The following is a 13,323-nucleotide window of genomic DNA, read 5'->3' as shown; positions in this document are numbered from 1 at the left end:
TCCATACCTTCTTCTGGATTATAACTGTCTCTGGTCTGGTCTTTTCCATTCCTACTTCACTACCCACCCTATATTTCACCACTAGACTAATCTGCATCAAACTTTCACAGTATATTTCATTTCTCAAAAACTTTCAATGGCTTTTACTTCCATCTCATGAATCTTTAATTTTCCCTCTGGTTTGCATGGTCCTCTTAGGATCAGGCTGCGTTACATTCCCATATCTCTGCATAATGGCCATTTGATGATTTCATGAGAATCCAAAATTATTTCTGTCCTTGTCCTTTTGCTTATGTTTTTCTGCTTATTTAGAACATACTCCACTTCAGTGAGGTTTTAGAATACCCATATTTAATATACATGAAATCAGCGGTGTATGGGCTGAGAGGGACAGGGGCAATGCAAACACATCAAGGTATTTGGCCTGCCATTCCACTCGATGAGAATGTGTCCCACAGTATGCAGGACAGGGAGGCACCAATCCAGGCCCCTCAGTCAGACTCAGCTCCTGGATGTCTTTCATGGTATCAGACTCTAGTCATTCTGAGTGTGACTGTGTGATCTAGTACTTAAAATGTGTACTTTTTATGTGACATAATTATTCACAGGGGGGATACCTCTTTTGGAGTTTAACCAAAGGGGTATAAAATTGGAGGAAAATGTAGCTGGGTTATATTTACCATGTTGAGAGACAGTAGTTCATCTCTAACTTGCTAAGCAATTTTCATAGGTAATCATGATGATATCTGATTTTCACCCTAGGTACAGGAGTAGATTCTAACATCAATATATGACTGGAACTCTATGACAGAGATCACCTGAATTTTACCTGTCTCTCAAAATCGCAGCTTCAGCCTTATTGTCTGTAGTCTACATTAATCTCTCTCTGTTCCTTAGCTTTCATAGTCCAAGGAACACAATGATGTGTTTATACCTCATCTTTTACTGTCCTCTGTTATTTCTCATAAAATTATCTCTCCCCAACTATATTTTCATGTCTCTGAGTAGAGGGATTGTGCTTTTATTTTATTTTATTTTTTTTTGTCTTTCTCATGGTTCCTAACACAGTGTGCCACTCATATTAAGAACTCAATGGTATGATCTTTTGAGCAACATAATATACAGGAGAGGCCACAGGGTCTGAGGTCAGACAGGCCTGGGTTGGAATTTCAGCTTTCCCAGATATTTAACTGTGGCACTTTTCTGACCACTCAGGCTCCTAATCTGTAAAATGAGGAAATAATATCTGCCTTGCAGGGTTATTATAAGGTTGGCAGTGATGTATGTATTGCAGTAGTATCTTAAATTCACCTCGTGTCTATAAACAGTGTCTGAAATATGGTAGCACTCATTATGTGGCAGGTAATATTACTAACAAGTAATTCCTTTGTTTATTTCTTTGTAAATATGCCAAGAAAATTACTGATAAAGGTTTGTGTGATAAAAGTGATATCACCACAGACTTGGTCTCTTTAAGTGGGAATTCCCTCAAAGCTTTTAAATGACTCAGATTATAATGATGGAGATCTCTAAAGCTTATTTGGAGCTTACTCACAATATCCTATGTTTATGTATTCTTTATAGATTACAGTACCTTTGCATGCATATTTTCAGTATTCCCTAACTTACAAATAAGAAATGTTGAGGACTAACTCTAATATTATCAGGCAAAGGAATCTGAAAGCAGCTGGTTTCTTGGTGGTAGGACTGGCAAAAATACTCATAATTTGCTTGGGCCTCTGAAAGTCCTGGTCCCTCTGCCTGGGCTGCTCTTCCTCCAGACAGTTACACAACTCACTTGCTGACTTCAGTAGGGTGCCAGCACATACATCACCTTCTTAAGATCATTCTCCATCTCCCTTCACTGCCTCTTTTTTTCTTTACAGCACTTATAATCTGATACCACAAGCATTGACTTTGTTTACTTTTCATTTGCCTTACTGGAAAGCAGGCCCCACGAGGGCAGGGTCTTAGACGGCTTCATAGCTGTATACCTAGAACCTAGGAAAGTGCCTAGCACATTGCAAGTGCTATTTAGGAACTTGCTGAATAAATGTAAGCTTGTGGAACTGTCTAGCTCTTTGCATAAACTCCAGGGACTAGAGACTTCAGGAATCCTATGGAGGAGGGCTGTGACTCTCACTGAATCAACAGTGAATGAATAGAGATGATGTCTTTACTACTTCTTCCCCACCAGACACATGCAGCCACCGTTTTCCAAAGGACAATAAAGCTCATAACCCAGTTCTGCTTCCAAACCCTTATATTTAGCCCATGCATTGTGTTCCCTGACCTCTAGCGGTCCCAGGAAATAAAACTAGAATCTGTGAATTTAAAAAAGTAGTTATGTAGCACTGCTCTAGACCTTGTCACCTGTCCTTAATGCCTCATTAAGATTGATCTTTGATAATCACACCTGAAAAGGGAAGAGTACCAGTCTAATGATACTACTTGGGCAGAATCGCTTTAATTTTTTTTTGAATTATCATCAGTAGCACACTCTTCCACGTTCAAATCCTGCAGCTCTCAATCTGGCCCCCTGTAAAAAGTAACATATGCTCACAATAAATCTTTAAAATGGCTCTATTAATAGAGTGGCTGTGGTGACAGTTTTATAAATGGGCCCCATCTTTATGCAAACTGTGTTTTATTCTATTGCATTATAATGATTTGTAATAAGAATACAGAGATGAATTCTGAGAAGGAACTCCAAACGTTCCTAAGCCGGTCAGGGATTTCAAAGCCCATGCATTCTGTGTGGTGGTTTCTGCATTCCCAGAACAACAGACATCATCAGATTAGTTTTTGCTATAGCTGTATGCTTCTCTGGCTGCTTTTTTCCAATCAGATAATAACAGTCTAATAACTGGCTTTGTGTCTGTCAATCCAATTACTTCCTATTTGGGATATGCTGACACTCCATTAAGTCGGCAGACAGATGGCAGCGTCTTTCATTACCCTCCGACTGAATAATTAGCTTCCCAGGCACGTAACTGGGGAAGGAGCCTTCGATGAAGTCAGGTGTCTTCTAAATAAACCCAAAGACATAGATTACTATGAATAATCTTTTTTATTTTGAAATGGAGTCTTGCTCTGTCACTAGGCTGGAATGCAGTGGCGCGATCTCGGCTCACTGCAACCTCCGCCTCTCAGGTTCAAGCGATTCTCCTGCCTCAGCCTCCAGAGTATCTGGGACTACAGGTGCATGCCACCACGCCCAGCTAATTTTTATATTTTTTGTAGAGATGGGGTTTCACCATGTTGGCCAGGATGGTCTCGATCTCTTGACCTTGTGATCCGCCCACCTCGGCCTCCCAAAGTGCTGGGATTACAGGGGTGAGCCACCACCGCGCCCGGCCAAAATAATATTGTTAACTCAATATTACATCAATGCCATGCCTGTAATAGGCAAAGCTATCCAGTTCATCCTTCTGAACTGAGGAATCTTTCTGGGCAGCCTTGATCAGGAGGAGTGGTTCTCTGGCCCTATTTCCACCAGAGCCTTTCCCCCACAACCTGTATATCAGATTGGTATTCACTCAAGGAAAAAGGCAACCTCAGTCTGGGATCCAAATGATGTCACCTTGGGATAGAAAAACAGTTCTTTCATCTGATCTGAGCTTATTAAGAATTTAAAGAAGTACCACACTGACTAAAAGAAGTTGCCTATGGAGAAAGTTATGTAGAATTTAACTGAAAACTTTTAAGGCTTGAATGTCTATAGGAAATTAAGACCCAATCATAAGAATTTTAATGAAATTACCTTGATTTCATAAGATGTTTATAATACAATTAGGAAAAAAGAAATAAAAGGAAGCATCATCATACATCTTCCTTATTCTCAACTGTATCTACCATAGTGATCAATTTTTATTGTTCTAAGAAGAGTAAATATGATTTAGCAGGTGTTTCATAGACTCTCTGAATAAGCTTAAGGATGTTTTTAAAACGTGAATAATAATGGTAATTTTTAAAAAGAAAAATGTGATATAGTTGGTGAAATTAATACCCCCAAATATAACTAGAGTTTACTTCTAAGAAACTACACGGTTGATAGAGATGCTTTTCTACTCCTCTGCCCTCCCTGAATAACTTTGTCACATAAGTTCCACCATCATGGTCAAATTCTAATTTTAGATACTTGGTGTTTTATCTTTTTCATGGGTTAGAACCTCAGGAATGGAAAAGGCAAATTCATATAGAGATAATATGATGTCACAGAAAGAATCTGGACTGTGAATTGAAAGACCTGGATTCTGGCCTGGCTGTGCTATTCATAACTGGGTAGCCCTAGGCTTCAGTTTCCTCACCAGGTCCTTTGCATACAGCCCCGTGTTCCATGATTCAGTATGGGATGCTGGCATGATTTGCCTTTTTCTCAGTTTTCCTAGTTGCTCAGAGTAATACTCTTGGGGCCTTAAAAAGGATCTGAAACATCACTGCTATCTCATTATGAATATTCATTCCCAAAGGCCACAAAGACTAATAAACTCCCAGCTGCAGGGAACAGAGGGTCAACATACTAAAACAGCACTAAAAGCAAGGAGACATTAGTGTGCTGAACCTTGAAAGCAGACAACTTTATAGCCCTTTAATGAGGATTATATTTTCATGGTTGTGGTTAGAGGGAAAAGCAGACCCATTAACTATTGTTCTCTCTTTTCCAAGTGTCATCATTTCTTATTTATTGAGGGTAATAGTTCTATTCAACAATGGTTATATATGAGCTGGCTGCGTAATACTTGATTTTTTAAAAAAAGTTCTTTGTATAGTCTCTTCAACGTACCATTTAAGAACACATGCATAATGGGTAGTTGCTTTGAAAACTATCCATTGTGTGGACACAGGAAGGGGAACATCACACACCGGGGCCTGTTGTGGGGTGGGGGGAAGGGGGAGGGATAGCATTAGGAGATATACCTAATGTTTAATGAAGAGTTAATGGGTGCAGCACACCAATATGGCACATGCATACATATGTAACAAACCTGCACTTTGTGCACATGTACCCTAAAACTTAAAGTATAATTAAAAAAAAAAAAGACAACTATCCATTGTGATTTGATTGGGAGATGCTCACTCAATAGGGCAAGAGTTCTGCTACTGAAGAGAAAGTGGTAAGTGCCAGTGGGTTGTGACACACTCAAGCTATTTTCAGCAGCCTGGATAGCTTCCAAGGGAACTAACGTAATGACAGAAGGAACATCTGGGCTGAAGAAATTGAAACCTGAATAAATTGAACTGAGGGTAGTGCCTCTTAGGTGCTAAGAGAAAAGATGGAATAGCCTAGTAACTAAAGTTCAAAATCAGGAAAACAGGTAACTTAATTTTGAGATTTCGCAAATGCTGAAAATAAAGTAAGAACTCCAAATAGAAGAATAAGGTTCTTCTCCTGGGCTCACTAAGGAGGCCAGGTAGCCTCCATGTTACTGGGACAGTCACCAAGGGGCTAGTCGGCCAGTGGCTTTCTGAAGGAATTCACCACTTAAACCAGGAGAGAGACACTTACTCTATGACTCATCTAGACCGTAAAGATGAAAATATCACCTAAATTACTGATGTCTCCCGAATGTACATGAAAAAGTATCTTCAAAGAGTTATTTCTCCAACTAGGGATAAAGAACACGAGAAGCATCACAGAGGATTCAAAGCTGATTATAGTAACTGGAAAGGGTACCAAAAAAGCCCAAACCACTTAGTAGCAAAAAAATGAACTAGACATATGAGGAGAAGCTCAAGGTCCTTGAACCTACCTCTTCAATCAGTTCTCACTGTATCAGGACTGCATATGGAGGGAAAGACCTAGCAAATGTAAGGGGGACATTTTTATTGTTCTTAGAAGGGTAATGTAAGGCTGAAAGTCCTCTTGGAGTTGTATATTTGAGACCCACAGTTCAAAAGTTATGTGAGGTACCTGATAAATACAGTCAAGATAAACTTTATCCAGCTGTTTTAGGGCATTTTATTTATTTTTATTTATTTTTTGTGTGTGTGACAGAGTCTCCCTCTGTCCCCAGGTTGTAGTGCAGAGGCGCGATTTTGGCTCACTGCAGCCTCTGCTTCCTGGTACCAGAGACTCTCCTGCCTCAGCCTCCTGGGTAGCTGGGATTACAGGCGTGTGCCACCACACCCCACTAATTTTTGTATTTTTAGTAGAGATGGGGTTTCACCATGTTGGCCAGGCTGGTCTAGAATTCCTGACCTCAGGTGATCCGTCCACCTTGGCCTCCCAAAGTGTTAGGGTTACAGGTGTGAGCCACCGCACCTGGCCTTGTTTTACAGCATTTAAAATGATGAAACAGTGTGAGCTGTTTAATCTGAGTTGAAACAAATGTGAAAGCTCATCAAGTCTGAAAGGAACATACAAACCAAAAGAGCCAAACAGAATGGTGGCAGATCCCCCAAATCAAGATCCTCACCGTGGGGTCTGTGAACTGCCCGACGCCATGAGTAAACTGCCTGGGTCTGGGCACACAAGTGTTAGTCCACAGTCCACAGCTGTCATCAGATTCTCAAATGTAGCTGTAGCCCCCCAAACTTCCCTAATCTCGTATTAATATAGTCAAGATTAACAGAGTACTATTGCCTCTATTAATATCTCTTCAAATCACCAGAATTAAAAGTATTGATGAAGATAAAAGGAGTTGAAAGTGCTCCCTGTTCACTCTGCCCTTTCAAGATTCTGAGGCTTCATTTTTACTAAATGTCTTAATTTGCTAATTGGATACATTGAGCTTGCTTTTCTAGTAATTGGCTTATTTTCACAGGTAACGAAAATGGGCGGGGTTACCAGGAGAATGGCAAAAAAAAGCCAAGGTGATTGTCCACGTGCATCTTCCTTTCCTCACTAGGGTCTTGCTGATGTTCTGAAGGTAAGGAGAGCAGCCTGGGAGGATGACTCACCATTTGGTTCTCTCTATACTAATGAGCCTCCAAATCCACCTAGAATAGACAACCTGCCATTGACTATTCTATTATTTGGTACCTTTTCTTGAAGAACGATAAATGCATGCTATTTTTATACACTTTTTCAGAACATTAAAATTGTCTCCATTTTTACAGTGCCATTTCCATTTTGGGATAAAAATGCATATTTTACAATAGCTCCACTTAAGGCTTCAACATAGCATAGTGATTTAGATTTTTGTTCATTGTGAACAATTTTCTTCTACAACAGGTTTTTTATTCCATATTTTTCAAAAATGAAAATGCCTTAGTTGTAGTCACCTTCTACGGACAATGTAAAAAGTACCTTTTAGGTTTTTTTTTTTTTTTTTTTTGGAGACAGGGTCTCACTCTGTTACCCAGGCTGGAGTGCAGTGGTGTGATCTCAGCTCACTGCAGCCTCAACCTTCCGGGCTCAAGCAATCCTCCCACTTCAGCTTTCTGAGTAGCTGGGTCTACAGGTGCGTGCCACACCACTCGACTAATTTTTCAATTTTTGGTAGAGACGAGGTCTCACTACATTGCTCAGGCTGATCTCGAACTCCTGGACTCAAGTGATCCTCTCACCTTGGCCTCCCGAAGTGCTGAGATTACAGGTGTGAGCCATCTCATTTTAAGGCATTTTTAAATGATGAAACAATATGAGCTGTTTAATCGGAGTAGAAGCAAATGTGAAAGCTCATCAATTCTGAAAGGAACATCCAAACCAAAAGAGGGCCAAACAGAATGGTGGCAGAGCCTCCAAATCAGGATCCTCATGATGGGGTCTGTGAACTGCCCGATGCCACGAGTAAAACTGCTGGGTCTGGGCATACACGTGTTTGTCCATGGTCCACAGCTGTCATCAGATTCTCAAAGGTACCTGTAACCCCCTAAACCCCTAAACCACAAAACTCCCTTCAACAGAGTCTCATCTGCGTGTGAAAAACAATGTTCAATGATGTTTCCACACCCTTTAGACGTAAGAATAAAAGTGAGAAGTAACTGTAGAGGTAAGTTTTATTTAGAGCTATAAATGTTTGATTTCCAAATATTAGGCAGCATTTTCACTCATAAAGGTTATTAAACATCTAAAGGAACCTGATCTATTTTCAATAACATAGTTTGTGGTGGGAAGACCATGGGCCAATAGCTCTGGATTCTAATCCTGGTTTTGCCATCACCGCCCCCTGCTCAACTTGGAGCAAGACACTTAAGTTTTCGGGAACCTAGTTTACAAGTGTGCAAAGTCGTTTTCACACCAAGAACTTATATTACTAATTTGCTCTCATGGACATTTTGTTTTGAAATATTTTTACTAACCAAACTATGCTTATTAAACAGTAATGGATTTCTTCTTTAAGAAAATTAATCCAAGTTTCTATAACTGCCAAAAGAACTTCTGAATAGTTCTTCTTCCACTCATTTGTTCAACCATCCAACCAACAAATATTAAAGTTCCTATCATGTGTGAAGTCCTATTCATGAGCGCTATGGACACAGAACTAAATTAGGCAGATCCAGCCCCTATTTCTATGGAGCATACAATACATGCTACACTTTGAGTTGATATAACTCCAACCTAAGTATAAATAAATTGATTCATAGTTTTGTGGCCATATCATGCATGCATTCATATTCATAAATACACTAAAAATAACTCGTAAACCCTATCACCAATTTCTCAGACTTCTAGGGGTTGGGTAGCCTAAACAGGCAGCTGCTGAATGAGATCAGTTGCCCGCTTCCTGTTAGTTCTAAAATGTGAAGATTCCACCATTCTCAGTGGAAAAGAGTGGATCCATTGTTCAATATCAGTCCCTAATATCCAGCTGTAATAAAAATGGTATTCCAGTGATTAAAACCTTCCACATCCCCCCAATCTACATAAATGTCTTCTTTCACTAAAACCTAATTACGTCTACAACTAAAGTAGATATTTGTAATGACAATTCAATCGATGTAATGTACATCTCCTTCCATGCTTCAGAGAGTTGAGTTTAAATGCCTTTTTTTGATTACTAGTTATTTTCTAAGTGAGTTTAATGCTTGTGAAAGCTATTGGGACCACATGCCTGAGAATGAATGTTCTCTGTTTATTTGACAAGCAGGTTCCAGAGAGCCCCCAGCTGCGTGCAGCATGAAACTCTACCTGCAAATCTCAATCTGGAAAGGTTTGTTTCATGGAACTTAAGAATATTTCAGTCACATGTTGCCTTCAGGTACTGGCTAGTTGTAAATCTTAAATAGAAGGACAACCTAGCTCTAGTAACAGGAAATGAATTATATGACGAATTTGCCTAATTATTTCAAATGAAATGCATGTGGTCACCCACAAAATACAAATTGGGTGAAATAATGTTAACATGTGAACTTGTGATAGCAGCAAATTACTTCCACATATTTCCAGCCAGTTGTCTAAGTTCTATCACTTTGATGCAACTTGAGGTGTTATGGTCATCACCCCCACAGCTCCAGGAAATGGAAGCATGATTTTCCATGATTTGTTTCAGCCTACTCAGTGCTTAGCAACATGTAAGTGCCCCCAGTGGGTTGGACAGAGACTCATTAGCAGCTTAAAGCTTTAGGACTATTAAGCAATCTCAGGTGAAGAATCTCTGAGACTTTTCCAGTGAAAATCAATTCATCAGATTCCTTTCCCATCTACATCCTATTGCATGCTCTATCGCTCCTAAAAAAGCTTGTTTCTCCTCCAGCTGGGGGAAGTGCAGTTCACTCAGCAACCACTGATTCATTGACCATATTGCATACTGTGAAGGAGGCTGACTTATTTCTGCTGGGAAGATCAGGTTCTGTTAGTTATGTGCTCATTATTTACGAGGCTGGAAGCAGCTTCTGACTCCCTTAGGAGCTGCCTAACACTACTGGCGTCAGGTTTGTTACATGAGAATATATATTTCATCTAATTATGTGGTCAACAGGTTGAAGATCTCCCTATCCAGAAAGAGGGGCAAGTCCTTGGATACTTTAAAACCTATGATCAATATGTTGACTACATCTAAGATGGAGAGTTAGAAAGTAAGTCAGTATAATATGGCTGTGATGGTTAAAATGCACACCTTGTATATAAAGTTTATCACTACTTTTAGCAACAGTGTATTCTTAGAAACTGAAATTGAACAGAGAAAGTCTTTCCCCATCATACCCTGCAATTGACACCAAAATAACAATTTCCCTTTGAAATGGATAGACAGGTTGATTAGTAAACCTGCAATTATTATAACAGTAACACAACCTTATAACCAAATACAGTCACTGAGGTAGACATACAGTCATCGAAGTAGACCAAAAATATACCTAGGATCAGCAACGGGCCTAGAATCCACAGCTTTCAAATCCTCACCCAGTCTTCTTTCCAATACATCATACTGCTTTTATTCTACCATCAAATGGTAATCCTATATCATCAGTGTGAAACTACAGTCAGAAGCTTGCTGGAAATCAACAACTGCACAAGTCATCGAAAGCAAAATATATGCCCTTTGGTCCTGGGGGAGGAGAGAGAGTAGTGGCATAGAACTCAAGAAACATCAGCAAAATGCAAAGTCGCACTAAATGGAGAGCTTCTGTGTGGCTGTAATCTTTTCCTCAAGTATTTTCTGGAGAGAACTTTTTAGATAAAGAATAAACTAAGGCTTTCATCACATTTCCGGAATAGATGCTGGTCCAGAAAATGCTCTGGCCCCTAGTTTTCCTTTCCTCCTTCCTTTCTTGCTTTATAGGGCATGGTGAAGAATTGGAACTTTACCCTGACGAAGTGCCATAATCTACCCTGTGTTTTAACAGGATCACTCTGGCTGCCATGTGAAAACCAGACTATATGGCAAGAAAATTAGTAAAAAGTGTCCGATAGGAGACATTGCAAAATAATGGAGATGAGACATTATGGTGGCCTGATTCAGAGGGGCAGCAGTAGAGACAGTGTAGGGTATCAAGCTTGTTTTATGAGAATACATGTATTTCATGTATTATATGGTGAACGAGCTGAAGATCTTGCCATCTAGAAAAAGTCAGATTCTCCATACAGCCTGAAGGTAGAGCACACAAGGTTTGTTGAGGGCCTATTGCATGTAGGGTATAAAAGAAAGAGAAGTGTTTCTGGGTGTGGTGGCTCACGCCCATAATCCCAGCACTTTGGGAGGCCGAGGCAGGTGGATCACCTGAGGTCAGGAGTTCGAGACCAGCCTGGCCAACTTGGTGAAAACCCGTTTCTACTAAAAACATAAAAATTAGCCAGGCGTGGTGGCGGGCACCTGTAATCCCAGCTACTAGGGAGGCTGAGGCAGGAGAATTGCTTGAACCCGGGAGGTGGAGGTTGCAATGAGCCAAGATCACACCACTGTACTCTCCAGCCTGGGTGACAGACCAATACTCTGTCTCAAAAAAAAAGAGAGAAGTTTTGAGCATGACATAAAGAGCTTTTGTCAGAGCAAACAGGAGGGTGAAGCATTTACTGAGATGACCAAGACAATAGGAGGAGTAGTTTTGGGAAAAAAAAAATTCATGAGTTTTGTTTTGGAAAGTGGAGTTTAAGATACTGATTAGACATCTAAGTGGAGACATGAAATGGGCAGTAGATATATGAACTGAGAGTTGAGAGGAGAGATTGGCACTGCAATAAAAGTTTAGATGCTATTCTTGTACAGCTGTTATTTAAAGCTGTAAGACTAGGGAGTGGATCTGATGGAATAGAGGAAAGGAGAGGTCTAAAACTGAGCCCTGAGATACTCCAATTAAGAGGTAGAGAAGATGAGTAGGGGCCAGCAAAGGAAAAGCAACAGCATGTAAAGCAGAAGAACCAACCAAGAACCCAGCAAGTGCAGTGTTTAGAAGCTATATGAACCTTATTCAAGCTCCCTTTCCTCTAGAAAATTCCATATATATATATATATATATATATATATATATATATATATATATATATAAATATATAAATATATGCACAGGGAAGAAGTATCTAGGTTGCTACCTGTGTGACCTTGAATAAGTTATTTAACCTTTACAAGTGCTATGGATTGAACTGGGTCTCCCCATCCTCACAAATTCGTATGTTGAAACTCAAACCCCCAGTGTGAGAGTATACGGAGGTGGGGTATCTGGGAGTTAATTAGGTTTATATAAGATTATGAGGATGGAGCCCTCATAACAGGATGAGTGCCCTTATGAGAACAAACAGCAGGGAACTTGCTCTTGCTCTCTCCCTGCACCCTATGTGAAGACACAGCAAGGAGGAGGCCGTCTGTAAGCCACCAAGAGCCTCTGCCAGAACTTGACCACACTGACATCCTGATCTTGAATGTCCAGCCTCCAGAACTGTCTGTTGTTTAAGCCACCCAATCTACAGTATTTTATTATAGAAGGTCAAAGTGACTAAGACAGTAAGCCTGTCTCTTTAACTATAAAGCACTACCACCTATATGTTGAGGGATTAAATGATTTAACCCATAAAAAGTGCTTTGACACTTGACACAGCCTGGGCAATATAGGGAGACCTCATCTCACACACACACACACACACACACACACACACACACACACACACACACACACACAAATTAGCCTATTGTGGTGGTGCACGCTTGTGGTGCCAGCTACTTGGGAGGCTGAGGTGGGAGGATCACTTCAGCCCAGGAGTTAGAGGCTGCAGTGAGCTATGATCCTGCCACTGCACTCCATCCTTGGCAACAGGGCAAGACACTGACTCAAAAAAAAAAAGAAAAGAAAAAAAAAAGAAAAGAAAAAACAAGAAAAAAAAAGTACCTTACAGAAAATGCTCAATAAATATTGCTTATCATTATTGTTGTTATTCATGAATCTTTTACGCCTAAAGCACTTTGCATCTACAGACTGATCATGTGGAATTTACTTAAAACCTTTAAGAATAGTTGCAACTACTTCTCTGTTTATATCTTATATTGATAACTGAAGTATAAGTGATTTGAATTCAGAAACTGGTTCAACTTCCTTATGTTTTCTACAATTCTAGCACAATACTCTGAGCATAGCAGATGCTGAACATACATTAGTGGACTAATACATTCTGACTTTGTTTGCCTGGATGATTAGGAGGAAACATTTAATATGAGATACTTAAACCATAAGTCTTCTAATAGCCAGGATGGTGAAATCATCACTGTTGGATCTTACATGGCCTTCAGTTAGATGGAGGAGAAGAGGCAAACAGTTGAATAAAGGTCAGTAAAATGTAAAGTGACACAAAGTGCAGACCTTCTATGTGGCCTTAAGCCTGAGGAAAAATGCTTCTCTTGATCTGGAGTTCCAAACTTCTCAGGTACTGAACATGCTTTGAGAGCTTTCCTCACATTTCTGGAACAGATGCTGGTCTGGAAAACTCTTTGACACCTGTTTCGTAATATT

General features: G+C 40.0%; 1 protein-coding gene across 10 annotated transcripts in view; it reads right to left on the bottom strand.

The window, feature by feature from the left end:
- The window catches only part of EXOC4 (exocyst complex component 4), an 847,874-nt gene that overhangs the window by 301,118 nt on the left and 533,433 nt on the right, over nt 1-13,323 (bottom strand). The window lies entirely within an intron of this gene.

This window comes from Homo sapiens, chromosome 7 (genome assembly GCF_000001405.40).
Source record: "Homo sapiens chromosome 7, GRCh38.p14 Primary Assembly".
Taxonomy (NCBI): Eukaryota; Metazoa; Chordata; class Mammalia; order Primates; family Hominidae; genus Homo; species Homo sapiens.
This window is presented reverse-complemented; position numbering and strand designations above follow the sequence as displayed.